At 43.8% G+C, this 25,263-nt stretch overlaps 1 protein-coding gene across 1 annotated transcript in view, besides 3 other annotated features; it reads left to right on the forward strand.

Moving 5' to 3' along the window:
* Positions 4,695-5,894: an enhancer, noted in NCBI's record as "P300/CBP strongly-dependent group 1 enhancer chr14:65822645-65823844 (GRCh37/hg19 assembly coordinates)". NCBI's record gives its function as "activates an origin of replication core promoter dependent on BRD2, BRD4, P300/CBP, MED14 and CDK7 cofactors, with strong dependence on P300/CBP, by STARR-seq in HCT116 cells {active_cell/tissue: HCT116}" and the evidence as "EXISTENCE:reporter gene assay evidence [ECO:0000049][PMID:35650434]".
* Positions 4,715-4,804: an enhancer, noted in NCBI's record as "active region_8561". NCBI's record gives its function as "activates an Ori minimal core promoter by ATAC-STARR-seq in GM12878 lymphoblastoid cells {active_cell/tissue: GM12878}" and the evidence as "EXISTENCE:reporter gene assay evidence [ECO:0000049][PMID:35858748]".
* The window catches only part of FUT8 (fucosyltransferase 8), a 387,280-nt gene continuing 367,626 nt past the window's right edge, over positions 5,610-25,263 (forward strand). Inside the window, exons 1-2 of the mRNA XM_047431179.1 lie at positions 5,610-5,762; positions 23,552-23,674. The gene's annotated coding sequence lies outside the window, so the exon portion shown is untranslated. The remainder of the gene's footprint in view (positions 5,763-23,551; positions 23,675-25,263) is intronic.
* Positions 20,880-20,949: an enhancer, noted in NCBI's record as "active region_8562". NCBI's record gives its function as "activates an Ori minimal core promoter by ATAC-STARR-seq in GM12878 lymphoblastoid cells {active_cell/tissue: GM12878}" and the evidence as "EXISTENCE:reporter gene assay evidence [ECO:0000049][PMID:35858748]".

Genomic DNA, 25,263 nt, shown 5'->3' on the forward strand with positions numbered 1-25,263 from the left:
GCTCACTGCAACCTCCACTTCTCGGGTTCAAGTAAGTCTCCTGCCTCAGTCTCCTGAGTAGCTGGGATTACAGGCATGCGCCACCACGCCTGGCTAATTTTTGTATTTTTAGTAGAGGCAGGGTTTTGCCATGTTGGTCAGGCTGGTCTTGAACTTCCGACTTCAGGTGATCCACCCGCCTCGGCCTCCAAAAGTGCTGGGATTACAGGTGTGAGCCACTGTGCCTGGCCCATATTTAACTTTTTAAGTTAAATAACGTACACAGCTTTCCTGGACTTCAAAACCTGGTGTTAAGGACAGACTTTCCAATATAGAGATACTAGGCTGTTTTTATATAAAATTGCTTTATCTCAAACTCATTGGTGTAGGCTCTAATGGAGGGAAGGGGATGCTGATGTCTTAGGACAGCTGCCTGTGAGAAGCTTGAAGAGCTGACTTTTGCAGTGCTTCTTAAGCCGTAGCATGCGTCGGAAACACCTGTTAGTGCTGGTTTAAAATGCAAAATTTGCAAGACTTTTTTTTCCTTATTTATCTACTATGGTTTGAATGTGTCCCCCAAATTTCATGTGTTAGAAACTTAATCTCAAAATGTGACCGTATTGAATCTTTAAGAGGTGATTGGATCAAAAGGTTTCAACCCTTATGATTAATCCATTTATAGGTTAATGGATTAATGGGCTAATAGACTAGCAGGTAATCATGAGAGTGGAACTAGTGGCTTTTTAAGAAGAGGAAGAGAGACCTAAGCAAGCATGTGAGCTCACTCAGCCCCTCACCATGTGATTCCCAGTGTGGCCTTGGGACTCTACAGAAAGTCCTCACCAGCAAGAGTCCCCTCACAGTTGCAGCCCCTCAATCCTGGACTTCCCAGCCGTCATAACTGTAAGACATAAATTACTCTTCTTTATAAATGACCCAGTTCCACATATTCTATTATAATCAACAAGGAACGAACTAATACATTATCTAAAATTATCTCCTGAAAGCAATTACAGTAAGGATCTTGCTTTTTAGAAAACAAAAAATTATTGTATACATTTTAAATTTTAAAAAACTACTTTAGCCAGGCGTGGTGGCTCATGCCTGTAATCCCAGCACTTTGGGAAGCCAAGGCAGGTGGATCACGAGGTCAGGAGTTCAAGACCGGCCTGACCAAGATGGTGAAACTCTGTCTCTACTAAAAATACAAAAATTAGCCAGGTGTGGTGGCAGGTGCCTGTAACCCCAGCTATTTGGGAGGTTGAGGCAGAGAACTGCTTGAACCTGGGAGACAGAGGTTGCAGTGAGCCGAGATCACGCCACTGCACTCCAGCCTTGGGGACAGAGCAAGACTCCGTCTAAAAAAAAAAAAAAAAAACTAGCAATACCAGGAGAAAATAAGCCCAAGCCCGGTGGCTCACACCCATGATCCCAGCACTTTGGGAGGCCAAGGCAGAATGAAGGCTTGAGGCCAGGAGTTTGAGACCAGCCTGGACAACATACCAAGACCCCATCTCTACAAAAAAAAATTTTAATTTTTAAAATTAAAAAAAAATTTTTTTTTAGATGTTATGCACTAGTAGCTACTTGGGAATGTTAGATGTTATGTCCCAGCTACTTGGGAAGCTGAGGCAGGAGGATTGCTTAAGCCCAGGAATTCACTGCTACACTCCAGTCTGAGTATACCCTGTCTCAAAGAAAAATAAAAAGAGAAAATAAAATTTTATGTGCAAAAAGTTAGGAGAGGGCAAAGTCAAGTAAAATTTCCCCATATTAACTTAGAAATAGTAATAAGGGCAAAATGTTCTAAAGGTTTCATCTGTTAGTGTCCTAGCCTGGAAAAAAAAAAAAAGGATGCCCTTAAATTGAGTCATTTAGGAAGAGTGTAATAAAGTCACTATTTACAAAGCATGGACTGGGCTTAGACAAAGCAAAAGGGATGTGCACTACCCTTGGGCTGGTGAGTGCAAGAGCCACTACCGCCACCATGTCTGTAAGGACAAGGCAATGGAACCCATTAAAGGAACCTAGAAAGCTGATAGAGAGGGCCACCTGGCAGGAAGGAACCAGAGAAATAAATATGCCAACCTCCTTGGCCAACCCCTAGAGGCTGGAGGGCAAAAGCAGCCTACTGATGTCATCCTTGTGACTCAGCCTCATGGGCAGAGAGCAGGGCAAAGAAGGGTGGAGAGCAGATTATGAGTAGCAAATGGGGAAAATCTAGCACCTGTCAGAGATGGCTAACGCACTGGAGTGGCTACTGTGTATCTTAACAAGCACTGAAGACAACAGTACAGAGATTTCCTTTTCTATCATCTCGTTTATATAACCATGCAGTAGGTTTATAAGAAACCTACCATTAAGTGGCTGGGTGCAGTGGCTCATGCCTGTAATTCCAGTACTTTTGGAGTCCGAGGTGGGCAGATCATTTGAGGTCAGGAGTTCGAGAACAGCCTGACCAACATGGTGAAACCCCGTCTCTACTAAAAATACAAAAAAATTAGCCAGGAGTGGTGGCGGGTGCCTGTAATCTCAGCTATTTTGGAAGGCTGAAGCAGGAGAATCTCTTGAACCTGGGAGGCAGAGGATGCAGTGAGCTGAGATCGTGCCACTGCACTCCAGCCTGGGCGACAGAGCAAGACTCTGTCTCAAAAAAAAAAAAAAGAAAAGAAAGAAAGAAACATCACATCAAGTGTTATGGTTTTGTACTGTGTCTCATTCCAGAAAAAGCCCAGAAATCTGAACTTCAAGTAAGAACTCAAGCTGAGGGCAGTGGTTCACATCTGTAATCCCAGCACTTTGGAAGGGCGAGGTAGGGGGACCGCTTGAGCTCAGGAGTTTGAGAACAGCCTGGGCAACAGCAAGACCTTGTCTCTACTAAAAATAAAAAAGGAGTCCCTAGAACTCAGTGATAGTCTCTCTTCTCTTGGTCCCTGTCAGGGCTGTACAGAAACCCCAGAGTCTCTCAAGCCAGCTTAGTCCTGCAACAGACATGCAGAGGGAACATCTGTAACCTGAAAGAGGAAGGTCAGACACTGACCTGGCTTCACGGGACCCTACGAGTCTTTAGGCATGAGTGGGCCCAGGCTGCTGGCACTGACCAGGCTCACCTTATCTTGGCTCCTGGGCTGAATGGCTGAGCTTTCCAGGCTTGGGCTGGGGAGGTCCCTCTTATTTAGCTTCCTTGTCAGCAGTTTCCAGAAGGTGAAAGTTACCTGCCCAAGGTAGTAACCTTAAACTGCAATAGAAATAACTCTCTGGGCTAGAGATGCCAAGGTTGTACCGAAAGTTTCCAAGGCAGTAGAGCACTTAGCCCTGTCTCTGTGTCCCCGTGAAGGCCCTAGTCTTCCTCCTTTGACTGGTGTGTTGGCGACCTGTAAAGCTTGGGTATGGGCTGGGCAGGGCAGGCCGCAGGGCCCAGTCTGGCTTCCCGTGGAAGCCAGTGAGTTTCCCGCAAAGAGAAAGTTCTGGCTGTAGGCCTCAAGGGCAGGGAGAGAGGCCTTCTTTAACCCCAGCAGTAAGAAAATGCTCATTCTATACCGTGTAAAGGGACCCTTAGTGTTTCCTGGGCTGACACAGAGAAGAACTATTTATTTCTCAGCTATCGTTCTCTGACTTGGCAAGCTCAGGCTGGAGTGGGGAAAAGCAGATCCAAGACAATCATGTGATGGAATTACACCTGCTGAGGTAAAGCACAGTGCTGCTCCCCAAGCAAACATTCTTGCAGACTCTGCACTGCAAACTCAGCTCAGGAGGCGCTGGGCTAATTTGTCTTTTGCCAACTAAAGGCAAATGGAGGAGGGCAGAGCCTGGCAGCTTCTCCTACTGCCTGGTGATTTGAGGATCACTCTGCCTCCCTCCCCGCTCCACCACTCTCTCACTGATGCCTAAATAACAGGTAGGAATTCGCTCCACTTCGCCAAGGAGCAAGGAAATGCACATCACTTTACTTTTTAAAATCAAATGGAATCATGCTGTGAGCCCCACCTTGCCCTGGCTGGTGCAATCCCCAATATTAATGATTATTGAAATCCCCTCTTTTCTGTTGGGCCGTACTAGAATCCGGGGCCCTGCTTGGTAATAGCAAAATGGGGCAGGGGATTGAGTTAGCCAATAAAATAGCCACCATTATTAATGTTGCTACTTTTGTTATGTGACACAGCTATTGGACTAAAAGGTTTCACCTCAAAGTGCCTACTTTACCTGCAGGCTCTGCCACAGGGGCCCTTGTGGATATTTCCAAGGTTATATAGTTAGAGATTGTCCTTGAGGTATTAGTCATGTGCCAAGTTTGAGTGGTGGTGGTAGTAGAAGGAGTGTTGAGGAAACTTTAGATCTTCTCCCCGTAATCTAGGTCAGCATCCCCTGTTCCTTGTTGTAGGTAATTAATATTTTCTCATTTTCATGTATGTAGCCATGTAAACAGCTTAGAGCATCCTCTTCCCCTCCCAGCCTTTCAATCAGATTGCTGCCCCTAAACCCCTCCTACAGAGACATTCTGACTTCCAGGCACCAACTGCTCCCCTAGACACCAGCAACCTCCAGAGCCCTTTACAGAAAAGGCGCAAGGCTCCAGACTCATAGAATCCAATTCTCTCTCTCATCCACAAAGCCCTAGCTTCTCTCCAACCAATCCCCACCTCATCCTCTGGGGTACTGCCATCTAATTCCTTCTTGGGTTTGACCCTTGAATTATAGAGAAACCATTAGCTAACTGCTGCCACCACTACCCCCAAGACAAAATGAGGAACTAAGACTGACCGCTAAACACAAAGCCTTAGCTAACTGGGGAGCTAGGAGGTCAGTGAAGAGGAATAGAATTTTTTCTTCCACCGGGTGTAGTGGCTCACGCCTGTAATCTTAGCACTTCGGGAGGCTGAAGTGGGTGGATCACCTGAAGTCAGGAGTTCAAGACCAGCTTGGCCAACATGGTGAAACCCCATCTCTACTAAAAATACAAAAATTATCCAGCCATGGTGGTAGATGCCTATAAGCCCAGCTACTCAGGAGGCTGAGGGAGGAGAATTGCTTGAACCTGGGAGGCAGAGGTTGCAGTGAGCCAAGATTGCCTCATTGCACTCCAGACTGAGTGACAAGAGTGAAATTCCATCTCAGAAAAAAAGAAAAGAAAAGAAAAATATATTTTTTTCTTTTTTTCCTATAGCAGAAAGGGAAAAAAAAAGCCTCATTCGATTATCATCATTTGATGATCGTTCTGTTACCAGCGTCATTCCTTTGGGTGAGTCATTGCTGCCTCCAAGGGATCCCATATTAGGATGCCCCCTTGGGAGGGATAGGAAGCATGACTAACACCTGAGTATAAAGAGGTTCACCCTACACTTCCTGACGTGGCAGGTGAGAGAGTGTGGGTGGGGAATTGGGAGGGGACTGCCTTTCCTTACTTTAGAGTCCTGTCCAATGGCTGGCTTTGTGGTTGGCTCCATTAGGGAGGGCCCACCAGGAAGCCTTCTCTTCTTTCCGTTGAAGACAAGCATGCAAGTTTTCTGTGGTTTGTTAGGGCTGGGCCACCATGTCCTTAGTAGGCAGCAAGGTGGGGTGATGACCTCTGATATCAAACCATCTGGGAGTTACTGCTGCTTTGTAAAAAAACAAAGGCCCAAAGGTAAAATGTGGAGAGAGCAGGGTACTGGAACACCGGCTCACATATCTGGCAGAGGCACTGAGGCCACTACTGCTGGCCTCTTTTCCGTGCCACCTGAGTTGATTTCATTCAACTCATGTGGTCAGGGGCAAGCACTGGGACAAAGTTCTCCCCAGGAGAGGTAAGAACCAGAAGGGAGCTTCTGGGTCTCATCTGGATTAATAGAAGCCATGAGTACTTACTCTGGCGGGAGCCAGGTTCCTTCACTTACTAGGTGTGTGACCTTGGGCATTTACTTATGTTCTGTGATTCAGTGTTCTTATCTCTAAAATGGGGATAATATGTCTACTCCACAGAAGTGTTGCAGGGATTTGTTAGTGTATTTAAAGTACTTGGAAGAGTGCTTGTCACATAGCAAGTATTATAAAAATGTCAACTGCTGTAGTTACTGTTGTTGCTGTCTACAGAAGCCAGGTGTGGACCACAGAGCCAGAAGCCTCGGGCAAGTCTCCAGAGTTGAAACTAGAAAGAATTATTTATAACAGTTCCCATCCTGCCTAGGGCTACAGATGAGACAATAGCTGTAAAACAGTCTCAGCTTCCCTGGGAGGGGCAAAATACCCAGATTCACTGCTAGAATACTCGAACAGAGGCTATTTCTTTAGGGCTCTGCAGCCTAAGCAGACCCTACCCTTAGGTGGTTGAGATACCCCCTTAATGGCCATGATTTGAGGGCCCCCAACACATCTCCATCATAGGCTTGCCTCAGTATCTAAAATTTTCTTCAGGGCTTCCAGTTTGGAAGATGTGACCTATTTTACAGCCAGACTGTCTATGTGTAAACCTCGGCTCTGTCACTCACTAGCTGCATAATCTTGGACAGGTTACTTAATGTCTGCACCTCAGTTTCTCATCTGCAAAAGTGAGGGTAATGACAATAGTCTCTTGATAGAGGCAGAGTGCAAATCACATAAAATAGTGTGTGTGAAGTTTTAGCAAAGTGCCTGGTACACCCTGAACTGGTGGTAATGGTGGTTTGACTAGAGAAGGCATAAATTTGCAATTTAATAGTGACTTCTGGATGAACTTGGAGGACATTATGTTAAGTGAAGTAAACTGGGCACAGAAAGACAAACACCACATGATTTCCACACATATGTGAAATCCAAAAGAGTTGATTTCTTAGAAGCAGAGAGTAGAATAGTGGTTACCAGAGGCTGGGGAGGGTAGGGAGGGGAGGAGAACAGGAGAGGTTGGTCAACAGGTAAAAAGTTACAGTTAGGAAGAATAAGTTCTAGTGTTCCATTACATGGTAGGGTGACTGTAACTAGTAACGATGCAGTCTATGTTTCAAGATAGTTGGAAGAGAAGATTTTGAGTATTATTACAAAGAAATGATAAATGTTTAAAGTGATGAGTATAGTAATTACCTTGAGTTGATCATTATAAAGTATACACATGCATTGAAACATCACATTGTATCCCATAAATATGTACAATTATTTTGTGTGAATTATAAATAAATTAATAAAAATATTTATTAAACCATAGATACTCAATATTTAAACACTTTTTAATAACAATTATCACATGTACAAAAATGTTGAAAACTAATGCAAGTAACACCTTTAAATACATCATTTACTTTTTTTACATTATTATTATTATTATCATTTTTGGAGATAGGGTCTCACTTTGTTGCCCAGGCTGGAGTGCAGTAGTATGACCTCCTCAGGCTCAAGCGATCCTCCTACTTCGGTCTACAGAGTAACTGGGACTACAGGTGCATGCCCGGCTAATTTTTGTGGTTTTGGTAGAGATGGATGGGGTTTCTCCGTGTCGTCCAGGCTGGTCTTGAACTTCTGTGCTCAAGTGGACAGCCCCATCTTGGCCTCCCAAAGTGCTGGGATTATAGGTGTGAGCTACCATGCCCTGCATAATTTACACTGAATAATTGTTTTATCTATGTCTTTGCCATTTTGTTTTCTGCTGTTATTTGTGTTTTTTTGTGCTATTATTTTACTGTTTGGTGAGTACATATATTTTCCCCTTAATAATTTGAAAATAAGTTGCTGAGCATCATGACACTTTAAATACTTAACAGCATATGGTTACCCCAAATAAGGACATTCTCCTACACAACCAGAACACTATGACCACATCTACAATAACTAATAATTATTCTTTAATATTATTTAATACTGAGTCCATATTCACACTTTTTCAGTTGCTCCCAAAATGTCTTTTAGAACTGTTTTTTTTCCTATTAAGAACCAATCTTTTCTTTTTTAGGGGCACTGACTTTTGAAGAGACCAGGGCATCTGTTTTACTTTTGGGGTTTGTCTTACTGTTTTCTTGTGATGGTGTTTTTAGTGAAGTTTTGAAGAAGGATGCAAACAATCTGGAGCTTGAGCTGGAATCCCTGGGCTGCCCCAAGGACACATGCTCTGCTGCCCGTCGAAAATGAGAGAAGAAACCAATAAACAAGGCACATTCATTTTCTTGTGTATTGCAGCAAAACATACATAACATAAAATTCATCATTTTAACTATTTTTAAGTGTACTATACAGTTCAGTGGCGTTAAGTACATTCACGTTGTTGTGCAACCATCACCACCATACATCTCCAGAACTTTTTCATCTTCCCTAGCTGAACCTCTGAGCCTGTTCAACACAAACTCTCCATTCTCCCCTCCCCTCAGCTCTGGCAACCGCTATTCTACTTTTTATCTTTGTGAATTTCACTACTCCAAGTATGTTACACACTACTTGTCTTTTTGTGATTGGCTCATTTCACTTAGCATGATGTCTTCAGAGTTCATCCATGTTATACTGTGGTCAGCATTTCCTTCCCTTTTAAGGCTGAATAATAATCCATTGTATGCATGGAACACATTTTATTTATCCATTCATCTGTTGACTGACACTTGGGTTGCTTCCACCTTTTGGCTAATGTGAGTAATACAGCTATGAACGTGGGTTTACAATTTTCTGATTGCATCCCTGCAAGGCACACTCTTTTTTTTTTGAGACGGAGTCTTGCTCTATCACCCAGGCTGGAGTGCAGTGGCATGATCTCTGCTCATCGCAATCTCCGCCTCCCGCCTCCTGGGTTCAAGTCATTCTCCTGCCTCAGCCTCCCGAGTAGCTGGGATTACAGGCACACACCACCACACCGAGCTAATTTTTGTATTTTCAGTAGAGACAGGGTTTCACCATGTTGGCCAAGATGATCTTGATCTCCTGACCTCATGATCCGTCCGCCTCAGCCTCCCAAAGTGCTGGGATTACAGGCATGAGCCACTGCACCTGGCCAGGCACACTCATTTTTACCTTATGTTGTGGGACTAGCCCTCATGCATCCTCTGATAACTGGTAATTTTACAAATCATGTTTCAAATCTGCATGATTCTCTCCCTTTTATCAAAATCTAACATGAAACAACTCTGTCAGTCTTGCCATTAGCTGGGTTTACAGCCATCTATACCAATAATAGAAATGTGGGCACGACTCACAGCAGGTGTTTCTGCATTGCTTAATGTGGTAAGTGTACTGATTATACCATTATGGAGTAAGAAGACAAACATTCCAAGCTTTTAAAGCTAAATTCAAAGGCCAGAGATGCCTTTTTAAATCAACCTAAAGCATTTTTAATCTGTTAGGCTCCCATACTTCAGAGGACTGGCCTATTAAAGGCACTTGTTCCAAGATTCCAAATGTACACATGTGATTTATATCTAGCTATCCACAAAGTATGAGAGGAAGCAGGGCAAAGTAGAATGAGCTCTGCACTGGATAATGAGGAGATGGGGATCCAGTATCCGGACTCTGTTGATAACCATGTGACCTGGGGCAAAGCCTCAACATTTTTGTGCCTGGGTTTTCTCATCTGTCAAATGGGAAGTTGGCTTATAGCCCTCAAATGCTATGATGGGCTGAGCTACATTTTATTTTTTATTATTATTGTTTGCAGAAGTCTATAATAGAAAGTCAGGTGTGGAAATGGGGAAGCACTGAAGTTGAGTTCACAACTTAGTGAACACAAATTAGTTGGGTGACCTTGGAGAGATTCTGTAATTTTATGAGCCCATATTTTCTCAAAAAAATTGTTCTGCAAAATGGGGATGGTAAATGCTGCAGAGCAGTGATGAAGATGGTAAGTCATCAGGTATGATGAAAGAACTTTGGAAACTTTCAAGGTGCTATACAATCACATGAGAGTGATTACATGGTGATTTTAAACTGTAAAGAGCTCTATAAAGCCAGGCATGGTGGCTCATGCCTGTAATCCCAGCACTTTGGGAGGCCGAGGCAGGCGGATCATGAGGTCAGGAGTTCGAGACCAGTCTGACCAACATAGTGAAACCCCGTCTCTACTAAAAATACAAAAATTAGCCGGGCGTGGTGGTGTGCACCTGTAATCCCAGCTACTTGGGAGTCTGAGGCAAGAGCATTGCTTGAACCTGGGAGGCGGAGGTTGTGGTGAGCCGAGATTGTGCCATTGCATTCCAGCCTGGGCAACAAGAGCAAAACTCTGTCTCAAAAAAAAAAAAAAAAGCTCTATAAATGTAAGGATCTACTAGAGACCTTGTAAGGATACTTACTAGGACTAAATTACTATTGTCCTAAGTAAGGGCACTAACCTTACTGACTCATAGAAACTCAGTATTTTACATTAAAAATAGACTATGGCCGGGTGCGGTGGCTTGCACCTGTAATCCCAGCACTTTGGGAGGCTGAGGCTGGGGGATCACCTGAGGTCAGGAGTTCAAGACCAGCCTGGCCAACATGGCGAAACCCTGTCTCTACTAAAAACACAAAAATTAGCCGGGCGTGGTGGCATGTGCCTGTATTCCCAGCTACTTGGGAGGCTGAGGTTGGAGAATTGCTTGAACCCGGAGGTGGAAGTTGCAGTGAGCAGACGCTGTGCCATTGCACTCCAGCCTGGGCGACAGAGCAAGAGTCTGTCTCAAAGAAAACAAACAAACAAACAAATAAATAAATAAATAAATAAATAAATAAATTATAACTCCCATTCTCCTCTCCCCAAGAATCCACTTTTAGTGGCCTTGGGTATTTCCTGAAATCGCTGGGAATGTTGTGGTAGATCCTCCCCTATCTCTATTTTATAAACTTTCATCAGCTGTTTGAAATGCTTTCTTTCTTTCACTCCAGAACTTGTTGCAGCATATCTTGTTTCAACAACCCTCCAGCCTGCCAATGGAGCTTTGGTTTCGCCAGTTGTGATGACTCTGAAGCTCTTTGTCAGTTCTTTTTATTCCTGGAACACTTGATCAGCTAGTTGGGTTGCATGTTGTTTTAACCCCTGAAGAGCAGATTCCCAGGCTTTGCTGTTTTACAATCTATGATTTAGCTATGATTGTTCTAACAAGTGTTCCCTGCCAAAGCTTGAAATAGTCCCTGTCAACAATTGTTCCCTCTACTCTTTCCAATAGCACAACGCTGTCTTCTAAGGAGCATGCTGTGTTTTCAGTTCAAAAGGGGGACTGTTTGAGGGAAAGAATACAGGAATTGATGAGCTGAGAATTAAGCTAATGACTCAATGGATTACAGATTGCTTTAGAAGCTGGGTGTGGTGGCTGTAGTCCCAGCTACTCAGGGGGCTGAGGTACGAAGATTACTTGAGCCCAGGAGTTCGAGGCCAGCCTGGGCAATATAGCAAGACCCCCATCTCAAACAAACAAACAAACAAACAAACAAAAAGCCCAAATTGCTTTAGGGTCAAGGGTGATACGCAATGCTAAACAATTAGTATGCATAGGAATCACCTGGAATTAAAAATAAAAGTGCAGATTTCTAGACCTGACCCCAGATATCCTCTGATTAAGAAATTCTGTCCTCATTAGCCGGGCGTGGTGGCTCACACCTGTAATCCCAGCACTTTGGGAGGCTGAGGCGGGTGAATCACAAGGTCAGGAGATCGAGACCATCCTGGCTAACATGGTGAAAACCCGTCTCTACTAAAAATACAAAAAATTAGCCGGGCGTGGTGGTGTGTGCCTGTAGTCCCAGCTACTCAGGAGGCTGAGGCAGGAGAATGGCGCGAACCTGGGAGGCGGAGCCTGCAGTGAGCTGAGTTTGCGCCTCTGTACACCAGCCTGGGCAACAGAGCAAGACTCTGTTTCAAAAAAAAAAAAAAAAAAAAAAGAGAAGAAATTCTGTCCTCATAAATGAGACTCAAAAAAAAAAAGAACTTCTGGAGTAGGTAATGAGGTTTAGGACACACTACCTTAGCATATTGGATATTTTAAACTGAAGGAATTTGAGACATGGCAGGTACAGAAAGGACTTTCTTTTCTTTTTGAGATGGAATCTCACTCTGTCTCCTAGGCTGGTGTACAGTGGTGTGACCTCGGCTTGCTGCAACCCCTGCCTTTCGGGTTCAAGCGATTCTCATGCCTCAGCCTCCTGAGTAGCTGGGATTACAGGTGCCCGCCACCAAGCCTGGCTAATTTTTGTATTTTTAGTAGAGATGGGGTTTCACCCTGTTGGTCAGGCTGGTCTCGAACTCTGACCTCAGGTGATCCACTGGCCTCGGCCTCTCAAAGTGCTGGGATTACAGGCGTGAGCCACTGCACCTGGCCTAATTTTTGCATTTTTAGTAGAGACAGGGTTTCACCATGTTGGTTAGGCTTGTCTCGAACTCCTGACCTCAGGTGATCTGTCCGCCTCGGTTTTCCAAAGTGCCGAGATTACAGGTGTGAGCCACTGCGCCCGGCCAGGAAGGACTTTCTGCCCATTTCCTGAAGGAGGTCATAAAACCCTCATGTGAGAGATGCCCTCTCTATACTGGCAAGAAATGAGCATCCTTGCCTCTAAAGACAAAGGGACACAGAGAAGAATCTGAACTCCCAGGCCTTGCTGTTTTCCTCAGTTTACCATGCTTAGCTCACACCCTTTTGTCCTATCTCATTTCTCCACCACTCCCCACTCTTCATCAAACCTAGCATAAAACCACTCAGGTTTTACCACTTCTTTGAGTCTCCATTTCTTTATGAAGGCTGCCATGCTTTCTAAAACTTTACACTTATTAAATAAGTTTGTATGCTTCTCTCTTGTTAACCTGTCTTTTGTTACAGGGGCCCCAGCCAAGAACTCAGAAGGGTAGAGAAAAGCTATTTTCCCTCCCCTACAGTGGGGTCATTTTACATGTGCTCCTGGGTGATTCTGATGCAGGGGTCCACATTTTTAGAAACTTGGTGGAGAACACTGGTTCTCCTACTATTGTAAATAAGTTGACTCTGAACAGACCACAAATTTACTTTGCCTCAGTCTCCACACTGACAAATGGCTATAAAAGCAGTAACCATCTTTCCTACCTCACAGGTTTAAAATAGGAGTAAAATGAGATAACAGATCCAAAACCATTTTTTTTTGTTTTGTTTTGAGATGGAGTCTTGCTCTGTCACCCAGGCTGGAGTGCAGTGGTGAGATCTCGGCTTACTGCAACCTCCACCTCCCGGGTTCAAGCAATTCTCTTGTCTCGACTCCCAAGTAGCTGGGATTACAGGCACCCGCCACCATGCCCAGCTAATTTTGTATTTTTAGTAGAGACGGGGTTTCACCATGTTGGCCAGGCTGGTCTCGAACTCCTGACCTCAGGTGATCTGCCCGCCTCGGCCTCCCAAAGTGCTGGAATTACAGGTGTGAGCCACCGTGCCTGGCCTCATTTTGAAAAGTAAAGAGCTCCTGCTAGTGCAAGGCGCCCTTATCGTTCTCAGCATTCTTTTGCATCAATGGAGCAGACTCCAGCCAACAACCCATCTTGCCTTGTCCCCCATAGACACTTTTAGGTATTTGCTTGAAGGGATGAAAGCCTCAAGAACCTGCCTTTTGTCCATCTGGTCCAGACAGGCTCACATAAGCTTATTCCCTTCCAAACAGAGTATGACAGGACCACACACATTTCTGCCTGAAATCTTGCCAAGATAGAATCTGAGATGACTCTCCTAATAGGCCTAAGTCTTCCTTGAAATCTAGGCACATCTGCATCTTTAATGATCCCATTAACTTCATTTTCCGCAGTGTCACATCATTCCTGGGCCACACTGGATTGCACATGTGTCTTCTCTGTGAGCCGGGGCTTACACCTGAGGGCTTGCCGTCCACACACACCCCTCATGCTTTGGCCGTGTACAGTACATCCCAGGTACAGTGTGTACCTTTTGAAGTTTTGAGTGATCAACTTCACATTAATCTATTCTCCCTCACTCTATTCTAATCCTTTTGGCAAGAACCTGTTCCAAGGTATTCTCCCCTTATTTGGCCACATTCAACTTGAAACAGAATAATCAGAGTTTTACTTCCAGTTAAAGCACAATGCTGTTTTCTTTTAGATATATTAGGCAGCCTACTGCTAGACCCTCAGCTGCTTTGTAACTTCATTAAATACTCTGCAATGTCTGATGAGTGTCTGAGTATCTGCAATTACCCTGCCCTCCTAAAGAGCAAAGAGGGGCATGATTCCCCTCCTGAGACCTAATAAATTCTTCCTCTCTCTCTCTCTCTCTCTCTCTCTCTCTCTCATTCATTTAACAAATAATTATTGAGCATCTAGTATTGTAAGAGGCATGTGAACAAGAGCAACTCCATCTTGAATAGGAGCTGGGTAAAATGAGGCTGAGACCTACTGGGCTGCCTTCCCAGATGGTTAAGGCATTTTAAGTCACAGGATGAGATAGGAGGTCAGCACAAGATACAGGTCATAAAGAGCTTGCTGATAAAACAGGTTGCAGTAAGGAAGCCAGCTAAAACCACCAAAACCAAGATGGTGATGAGAGTGACCTCTGGTCGTCCTCACTGCTGCACTCCCACCAGCGCCATGACAGTTTACAAATGCCATGAAAATGACAAGAGGTTGCCCTATAGGGTCTGAAAAGGGGAGGTATGAATAATCCACCCATTGTTTAGCATGCAATCAATAAATAACCATATAAATGGGCAACCAGAAGCCCTTGGTGCTGCTCTGCCTATGGAGTAGCATTCTTATATTCCTTTACTTTCTTTTCTTTTTTTTTTTGAGACAGAGTCTTGTTCTGTCGCCCAGGCTATAGTGCAGTGGTGCGATCTTGGCTCACTGCAGGCTCTGCCTCCTGGGTTCAAGCAATTCTCCTGCCTCAGCCTCCTGAGTAGCTGGGACTATAGGCATGCGCCACCATGCCCAGATAGTTTTTGTATTTTTTAAAAATAAACTTGCTCTCACTTTATGGACTCACCCTGAATTCTTTCTTGCACAAGATCCAAGAACCCTCTCTTGGGGTCTGGATCCAGAACCCTTTCCTGTAACAGTATGTGTCTAGCACTGGAGAGACAGCACAAGACAGACAAAGTTTCTACCCTTATGGAATTTATATTCTAATAGAGAAGACAGTAAGTAGCCGAATGAGAAAATTTAAGGTAACAGTAAATATTATGAAGAAAATGAGACACTGTAATGTTGTGCAGAGTGAATGAGGCAGGGAAGTTGCTACTATAGACTGAGTAGTCAGGGAAAGGCATCTCTGAGGAAGTGAGATTTGAGCTGAGACTTAAATGGACCAGACTTAGAAAGACTGGACATTGGAAAACTATTACACTAGTTTTTCCCCGATGGCTTCTGTGGGGTTTGTTTGCTTGTTTTTTGGCGGAGAAAAGAAATCCTGTCTTATGCTTTGATCACAATGACATTATATGTTATTGCTAGGATATGTACCCAACAGCCCACCAGAATGAGTATTCAGCCTATACCCTACCACAGCTCTGTGCTTTTCAAAGCATCACTTTGGTTAGTAGTGGCAAGATGATCCAAAGGATCCCTCAGAATAGACTCTTAAAAGGCCTACCTCATCTAATTAAATTAAGCAGCTTACTATAGTGTCGTATCTTAGAGCCCTGGGAAATGACTCCTGCCCCTCAAAATATCCTAGACTTTCCAGCTATGCTCTGGAGATTGAAATTCTTTTAAACCAGTTTTTCATTGTACAGTCAGTTAAAAGGTTTAAAATGTAATACCCTCAGGAGAAGTGGCAAATTGGCCCTGTGCACACACCATGGTTCTGAAGAGGCTACAGATTCCTTCTGTAAGAAGGGAGGGGAGAGGAAGAGACATGTGCCAGAGACTACTGGAAAAGAAAATGTAGAGAAAAGCGAAGAGCTGAGAAAGGGGAAATGAAAGAGAGAAAAGACTCTGTGTCCTTAAGCAACCGATTCCCTAAGGACTGCAACATCTCCAGATTTCTCCAGAGCTCTAAGAAGTCAGATGTACTTTGGAGCTGGCCAGAGGGGTTGGTGGTGGGCTCTCTTCTCCTGTCCCCATCCTGAAGACTCGTTTCTACATTACAGAAAGTGGATTTCCCCATGGGATGGAGCAGTGTGTATCCTGGACCATTTTGCCTTGGGGGAGGTTTAAAGGGAAGGCCTGAATCATTAATTTATGAGGAGGATAAGAAAGTGGCATCTCATTAAGGAAATGACTCTTCATCTTTAGAGTCTAGAGCATAAGAAAGCCTCAGTGGGATGAGATCTCCATTAGAAAGGGACCACTGTTAGAGTCCATTCCACAGGAACACTGTGAAGTCTAGCAGGGCAGGAGATTGAAAATCTAGAGGGATCCTCCCAGCACTGAGCAACTACCCTTATTTTGTAACCCTGGGCCCAATTTGGAAGGGTGGTAAGCATGGAAGAAAAGGATGGAAAGAAAGTCCTAAAAAGCTCTGTGGAGTGATTTAAGGACTATTTAGAATAATAAAGTAACCCAAATAAATTCTGAAGCCCTCAGGAGGCTCAGTTTCCCCAAATCATAATCAAAGAAGGTAATCCAGAAACCAAGAAGAAATTTAACATGCACTGCAATCTTTAGAGATGCAAATCTCTAAAAGAACACTACAGGGAATTCGATTCAGAACCCAGAGAACACTTCTGAAATTCTCTTTTCTCTCCTTAATCCACATCTGACAAAGGCTTTTACCCACCAAATCCTGCAAATTGTCCCCAATACCCAGGCCATGTGTTTATTCCCTTCCTTCATTCCCCCATCTCTTTACTCCCACCTCTCCAATCCCATTTCTTTATCTCTCCCAATTCTTTCTTCATAAGAAAAGCTGGCAAACTGATTTGGAAAAGAAAGTATCTTTATAGCAGTGCTGTTTCATGGAAATATAATGTGAGCCACATAAATAATTTAAAATTTTCTAGTAACCACTTAAAAAAAAAGTAAAAGAACATAGGCAAAATTACTTTTTTTTTTTTTTTTTTTTTGAGACGGAGTCTCACTCTGTCGCCCAGGCTGGAGTGCAGTGGTGCGATCTCGGCTTACTGCAAGCTCCGCCTCCCGGGTTCATGCCATTCTCCTGCCTCAGCCTTCCCGGTAGCTGGGACTACAGGCATGTGCCACCACGCCCGGCTAATTTTTTGTATTTTTAGTAGAGACGGGGTTTCACCGTGTTAGCCAGGATGGTCTTGACCTCCTGACCTTGTGATCCGCCCGCCTCGGCCTCCCAAAGTGCTGGGATTACAGGCGTGAGCCACCTTTTTTTTTTTTTTTGGGACAGAGTTTCGCTCTTGTTGCCCAGGCTGGAGTGCAATGGTATGATCTTGGCTTACTGCAACCTCCGCCTCCTGGGTTCAAGCGATTCTCCTGCCTCGGCCTCTTGAGTAGCTGGGATTACAGGCGCCTGCCACCACGCCTGGCTATTTTTTTGTTGTTGTTGTTGTTTTTGTTTTTTTTGAGATGGAGTCTGGCTCTGTCGCCAGGCTGGAGTGCAGTGGCGTGATCTCCGCTCACTGCAAGCTCCGCCTTCCGGGTTCACGCCATTCTCCTGCCTCAGCCTCTTGAGTAGCTGGGACTACAGGCGTCCGCCACCACTCCCAGCTAATTTTTTGTATTTTTAGTAGAGACGGGGTTTCACCGTGTTAGCCAGGATGGTCTCGATCTCCTGACCTGGTGATCCGCCCCGCCTCGGCCTCTCAAAGTGCTGGGATTACAGGCATGAGCCACCGCGCCCGGCCTATTTTTTGTATTTTTATTAGAGACGGGGTTTCACCATGTTGGCCAGGCTAGTCTCGAACTCCTGAGACCTCAGGCAATCCACCCGCCTTGGCCTCCCAAAGTGTTGGGATTACAGGCGTGAGCCACCATGCCCGGCTGCAAAATTACTTTTAATGATATATTATGTTTAACCCAGTATGTCCAAAATACTATTATTTCTACACATAATCAATATACAAAATTATTGAGATATTTTACATTTTTTATACTATGTCTGAAAGTCAGCATATATTTTACGTGTAGAGCACTTAAAATGAACTAACCACATTTTAAGTGCCTAATAACCACATGCGGCAAGTGGCTACCCTGTGGGGCAGTTAAGCCTTACAGATTAGGTGAATGGGCAGGAAAAGAGGAAAGACCAGGCCCCAAATATGGGGACATGGCCTGCTTCATGAAGAAATTGTCACAAGTTAGTGCAATGGCAAAATGATAAGAATAAGGACAAGGTACTGAGTTTTTCTTAGAGGCAAATATATTCAATTTTTAAATTTCGAGATTGTGTCTCTGCCGACTTGTCAGAGATGTTTAAATCAGAGTGACTTCATCTTGTATAGGGGCTGGGTAAAATAAGGATGAGACCTACTGAGCTGCATTCCTAGAAGGTTAGGCATTCTAAGTTCCAGAAGGAGAAGATCAGGTCAGCACAAGATACAGGTCACAAAGACCCTGCTGATAAAAGGGTGCGGTAAGGAAGCTGGCCAAAACCCACCAAAACCAAGATGGTGACAAAAGTGACCTCTGGTCCTCCTCACTGCTCATTATACACTAATTATAATGCATTACATGCTAAGACTCTCCTACCAGAGCTATGACAGCTTATAAATGCCATGGCAATATCAGAAAGTTACCCTATATGGTCTAAAAGGGAGAGGAACCCTTAGTTCCAGGAAGTGCCCACTCCTTTCTCAGGAAACTCATGAATAATCTACCCCTTGTTTGGCATATAATCCAGAAATGACTATAAGTATACTCAGTTAAGCAGCCCATGCCACTGATCTGTCTATGGAGTAGCCATTCTTTATTCCTTTACTTTCTTCATAAACTTGCTTTCACTTTATGGACTCGCCCCAAATTCTTTCTTGCTGGAGGTCCAAGAACCCTCTCTTTGGGTCTGAATCAGGACCCCTTTCCGGTAACAAAGATGAGATGCTCCTCACAGAAATAGTCATTTATGAAATTATAATAATGATAGATGCTAGTATTATTCTTCTTCATGTCATCGTGTGGCTAAATAAAAAAAATGGTAACTACAGTGTTTCTCCCATTAAAAAAAAAAAGTTTTATAGGACCATGAAATCCAAATGGCAGGAAGTCACTGCTTTAGAGCACACATAGTCTTTTTTTTTTTTTTTTTTTTTTTTGAGACGGAGTCTTGCTCTGTCACCCAGGCTGGAGTGCAGTGGCACTATCTCCACTCACTGCAAGCTCCGCCTCCCGGGTTCACGCCATTCTCCCACCTCAGCCTCCTGAGTAGCTGGGACTACAGGTGCCTGCCACCAGGCCCGGCTAATTTTTTGTATTTTTTAGTAGAGACGGGGTTTCACCGTGTCAGCCAGGATGGTCTTGATCTCCTGACCTCGTGATCTGCCTGCCTCGGCCTCCCAAAGTGCTAGGATTACAGGCGTGAGCCATTGCGCCCGGCCACACGTAGTCTTTTTTAAAACACATTGGCCCATTTAATCATCACAACTATATGATACATATAAATATATATAAACAAAAATATATATAAGTATATGTATAACTATAACTATATATAGTTAGGTACAATTTGTCTATATATAAATTATATATTATGTATATAATTTGTCTTGAAACTGTAGAAGAAGAAAAAACGTTTTCCTCTATTCTCCTAGGGTCTCCAGCTGGAGCTCTAGGAATTAAGCTGACAAAAAAACAGATTAGCAAGAGAAAAACAAACCGTTTATTAACATGTGCAGCATGCGATAGAAACTCAGTGATGAGCAGTGATAAGTAACTCAAAGTGGGTGGCTAAAACTTGGGACTTTTTAACATTTGAACAACGAACAATATGTTGAGAAGTGACAAGACAAAGGAAAAGGGGTTTAGGCTTTTCGGGGCAGCAAACTGTGGGACGCTAAATATATGGGCGAAATTCCTGGAAGATAAAAGTTGGTTTAGTAATGTTTGTCATGTAGATTTCTCTTAGTGCCGTCTCTGGGCCAATAAGAGTTTCAGATGATTAAGAAACTAAATCTTCTTTTAGTCAAATGGGAGTGTGGGAGGGGTGGGCAGAGAGCTTTTTTCCATTTCTCAGTTGTCTTCAGCTTAAAATAATCCTGTGTCAAAGGGCCATATTTGGGTGTAGCCCATTCTAGTCCCCTGCAAAACGATCACACTTTCACAGTGTACAGAACTTTTCTTCCTGAATTATTTGAGAGTTAATTGTTTATCTGATGCCCTATCACCCTACAAATTTTAATGTATATTTCCTACAAACAAGGATGTAACCTACAAAAACCATAATAAAGCTGTGAAAATTAGGAAATTAACGTTGATGTATTACTATCATTCAATATTTAGATCCCATTCAAGTTTTAGTAGTTGTCTCAATAATGTCTTTATCCTCCTTCAGTCTAGAAGAATTAATTGGTCAGTCTCTTTGACTTACATGACCTTGGCACTTTTGAAAATTACAGACCAGTTATTTCATAATAAATAAGTAATTATGAGGGATTTACTTAGAAACTGCAAATATTCCATTCCTCATCAGACTTTTAACTTATTAGTTACATATTTTGATGCTCAAATTGTTTCCAGCTTAGTCATTAGGAGTCCTTCAAGCTGATTTCCATGTCCTTTGACATGTCACCATCATTCTTTAAGCACTTTCTTGTTTTCTGACACAACACATTTTCCAGGCTTATTTTGTACTTTCCTTGTCCCAGGAGTCAGCCATTTCTCCGAAGAGCCCTAGTGAACAATTAAGTTTAGAAGCCGAGATCTGGGTGCTAGATGTGCTTGTTACTATTGAGGCATCACTGTTGCCCAGGGCTGCTCAGTGAGCAGAGCTAAGGAATGTATGTATATATATATACAAACACATACATTTACATCTCTAGTTTTCTATTTATTTCTTCTGTATTGGAAACCATGAGTTCATAGTGATACCTCCAATTCTAATTCAGTATCACAGAGCACATCTTCATTTTCTCTCTTTCTGTATTTGTACCTCCCTTCTCTGGCAGTAGAAAACTGACCCTTGTTATCTGTAATTTATTTACATATTTGATCAATCCCCCATGTGTAACCAAGCTCCTGTTCCCAATGCCACCTCCTCCCCTACACAAATTCTTTTCTCTCCCCCTTTGACCTCTGATGCCTTGTGCTGGGGCATTCCCCACATGGAGATCCTCATCCACCTTGGCCTTCAACATCTCAGACCAGGACTCCTCTATGTATCTTCCAACGCTTCTAGTAAATTTTTAAGAAAACTGAGAAAACGGATTTCTGTAACTGAGATAATTGAAAAAATGATTTCTATATTTTCAAACTATCTTAGTTTCATAACTAACCTCTTTCCCTTCCTTCTTTTTTTTTTTTCTTTTGGGACAGAGTTTTGCTCTGTCACCCGAGCTGGAGTGCAGTGGCGCGATCTTGGCTCACTGCAACCTCTGCCTCCCGGGTTCAAGTGATTCTCCTGCCTCAGCCTCCCGAGTAGCTGGGATTACAGGCGCCCACCACCATGCCCGGCTAATTTTTTGCATTTTTAGTAGAGACGGGGTTTCACCATGTTGCCCAGGCTGGTTTCGAACTCCTGAGCTGGGGCAATCCGCCCACCTCGGCCTTCCAAAGTGCTGGGATTACAGGCATGAGCCACTGTGCCCGGCCTCCTTCTTTCTTTAGTAGAATGCTGTTCCTGTTTCATGGAGCAATTTTTCTCTTATCTCTCTGATAATACTTTCAGTTTGTTTAGCCTCTTCTGCTTCCTTCATTGTTCATTTCTCCTGAGTTCCTTTGTACTCTTACTTGCTTTTGGTCTCTCTTTCCGGTTGGAGGCTTTCCTCACATACCTGGTGTGTTCCTAGCTTTCTATTCCTGTATGAGAATGAGGCACTAAGGAGCCAACTAGAACAGAATTCGGGGTAGGGAGTAGAGATGCCAGATAAAATATAGGCTGCCCAATTAAATTTGAATTTCAGATAAGTAATAAATAATTTAAAAATATAAGTGTGTCCCAAATATTACTATGAACATCATAATAATAAGAAATTATTCATTGTTTATCTGAAATCTGAATTTATCTGGCCATTCTACCTGGGATCTTAGTCAACTGTTGACTTCCTTCAGGGCGATTGTGATATGGACAGGATGCAGGAGGGTGGAGTCCCTGGCGAGGGCTCCACCCTCAAGCTTGGACCTGCAGCCGTAAATGACAACAGGCATTCCTGTTTTTGCACCCAAATGTTGCCTTTTGGCCTGTCATGTCCCCCTATCCTGTGGCCATATAAACCCCAAACCCCAGGCTCCACAAGCAGAAGAGTGGCAGAGTGACAGAGCAGCAGAGTGGCACGGCAGAGATGGAGAGAAGAAAGGAAGCGTCTGAATGTTGAGAGGAGTTCGGCTGGGGCAGTCAGAGAGGAGATAGGATGCAGAAAGACCAAACTCCAGGGGAACGGCAGGGCTAAAAGAGCGTTGTAACACCACTAGACACTGCTGTGGCGCCAGAGCCCAAAAGTGCTCGCCCCGGCTCCTGCATCTGCTCACCTGTGTGCTTCCCCTCCCGTAAGGAGTTCCAGCGTGCAGCGGCAAAATAATGAGCCACACCCCTGTTGCACGTACCACGGTGGGTCAGGGAACTCTCCCATTTCAATTGTATGGGATCCCAATTTTTCATAGGTTTATCAGTTTTCTCAGAGAAAAATTCTTCCATTCGCCCCTGGGTGCTACAAGCCTAGCTGCTAATGCGCCAAAAGCCAGTTGTAGGAGGGAAACAGTGTAGAGATGGTCTTCAGTGCCACCATCCGTCCGTCTTTCTTCCAGCTGTGCCAGATCTCCCTCTCCCAGGCAGAATCCTGCAGGAGTGGGGCACGGACAGCTGCCTGGCAAGGAGGGTTAAGAGGAGAAGAACCGGAAGAGATCTAACTTGGTTTTTATACGAAGTTTCAACCAGTCCTCCTGTTTTCAGGCCTGCCCAGCACTCCCACCTTCGGAGGAACCAGTTGCCCCCAAAGGCTGAGTCTTTCTGGGATTCTCAGACTCGTTGATCTGTTTTTCCTGTAGGTTTAGGTTTCAGCTTTCTCTTAATATTGTTTATTTCTCTCATTTACTGTGTCTTTGTCTAATGCTCTGTTTGTCTTTGTGTGTTTATGTCATTTAAAAATTTCTTTGCTGAGTTTGTTTTTGTGAGAATAGAGATAAATGTGAGTGTACAGTCTGCCATGTTTCACTGGACAATAATGATTTTCCATTTATTTTATTGGTTTATATACCTGGAGGAGAAATTGTCTATAATGTACTACATACTCAAATGTCCTGGGAAAAAGGGGTTTGGATAAACATGGATTTTTCTCTGATTCTCTCTTTCCTCTATACCTCCACTTCCCCTGCCCCTGCCCACACCATGAAAGACCAAAGGTAACTCTGACTGATATGAGTTCTTTGGCTTTCCATACTTGGTATTTTGGCACTATTGGTTCCTCAAGTTCCCCAAAGACAGCTGGACTAGTGTGCCTATAAATCTTCAATCCTAACCAACGGTGAGTTGTTTTTTTTGTTTTTTTTTTTTTGATGGAGTCTTTCTCTGTCACCCAGGCTGGAGTGCAGTGGTACAATTTTGGCTCACTGCAACCTCTGCCTCCTGGGTTCAAGTGATTCTTCTGCCTCAGCCTCCCAAGTAGCTGGGACTACAAGTGTGTGCCACCACGCCTGGCTAATTTTTTTTTTTTGTATTTTTAGTTGACGTGGGATTTCACCATATTGGCCAGGCTGGTCTCGAACTCCTGACCTCGTGATCCACTGGCTTCTGCCTCCCAAAGTGCTGGGATTACAGGTGTGAGCCACCACACTGGCTTACCAAGGGTGAGTTGTAAATGTAACTATTCCCTGCAGGTCTGTGGCTTAGAGCAATGAATTTAGATAAGGTCAGGGTTTACTGTTGTTTATTGCCTTACAATAAGAGCTGTTTGTTCATTGTAATTGGCTTATAAAAGTTCTTGAGTCACTAATAAATAAACACAGGGGTGGGGTGGTCATTTCTTAAGTGGAAGGTGAGAAATCCTAAGGGTATATGAAGTCTGAGAACCCTTGTCTTTGTTTAGTTCCTCAATACACCCTTTAAGATGAGCCCAGGAAATTTCAGATATCTGATTACTTCCAAAAAATTATTTTCTGCCAACTCATATCATCGTAATTAAACTAGTTGCCACACGTGGCAAATATTGTAGGCAATGAAATTCAGGCTGATCACCATAGTTAAGACATGGACATAAATAGCAAGAATAGGGTGGGAGGACCAGGTGGGGTGGCTCACACCTGTGATCCTAGCACTTTGGAAGGCTGAGGAGGGAGGATTGTTTGAGCCAGGAGTTTGAGATCAGGCTGGGTAACACAGCAAGACCCCATCTCTACAAAAAAAGTTTTAAAATTAGCTGGTTGTGGTGGTGCGTGCCTGTGGTTCCAGCTACTTGGGAGGCTAGGGTGGGAGGATCACTTGAGCCCAGAATGTTGAGGCTGCAGTGAGCCACGGTCGTGCCTCTGCACTCCAGCCTGGGTGACAGAGCAAGACCCTGTCTAAAATGAAAAGAATAGGGCGGGAGTACTAATAGCTCTCACTTGACTTGGCCCCATTTTACGGATGAAATAGGCTCAGAGAGCCTTGTAGCAAGTAAGTAGTGTCACTGGTATTCAAACTGATGTTTGTCAGACATTGCCTCTTAGAGAGGAATATTTTGAATTCAGAATCTAAAAGGTTTGTATTCTGTGGCTGGGTGCAGTGGCTCATGCCTGTAATCCCAGCACTTTGGGAGGCCAAGGCGGGCAGATCACTTGAGGCCAGGAGTTCAAGACCAGCCTGACCAACATGGTGAAACTCCGTCTCTACAAAAAACACAAAAACTAACTGGGCATGGTGGCGCATGCCTGTAATCCCAGCTACTCAGGAAGCTGAGGCCGGAGAATCGCTTGATCCAGGGAGGTGGAGGTTGCAGCAAGCCAAGATCATGCCACTGCACTCCAGCCTGGGTGTCAGAGTGAGACCCTGTCTCAAAAAAAAAAAAATAATAAAATAAATAAAATAATAAGAAAAGGTGTGTATTCTGGAAAGCATAGAGTAAAACCAAAGAACTTTCCGCAGAAGAAAATTTCTATTTGTCAAGTATGGTTTTCCATGATTATTATTCTAGCAAATATTACAGGGCAGTGAGACTAGGAAGACAGTTGGCAGAAAGGCTTCTGTTTTGGTGGAGAGAGATGGAGCAAATACAATATTGTGAACCTGATTTTAGTATCAGCCAAACAAAATCAAGAAGAACATGTGGTGGTGGTAGAAGCAAGAAATGAAAATCTCTCGTTTCATCCACAGATTGTTTTTGTTTTTGTTTTTGAGACAGAGTCTCTTCCTGTCACACAGGCTGGAGTGCGGTGGTGTGACCTTGGTTCACTGCAACCTC

This window comes from Homo sapiens, chromosome 14, assembly GCF_000001405.40.
Source record: "Homo sapiens chromosome 14, GRCh38.p14 Primary Assembly".
NCBI lineage: Eukaryota > Metazoa > Chordata > Mammalia > Primates > Hominidae > Homo > Homo sapiens.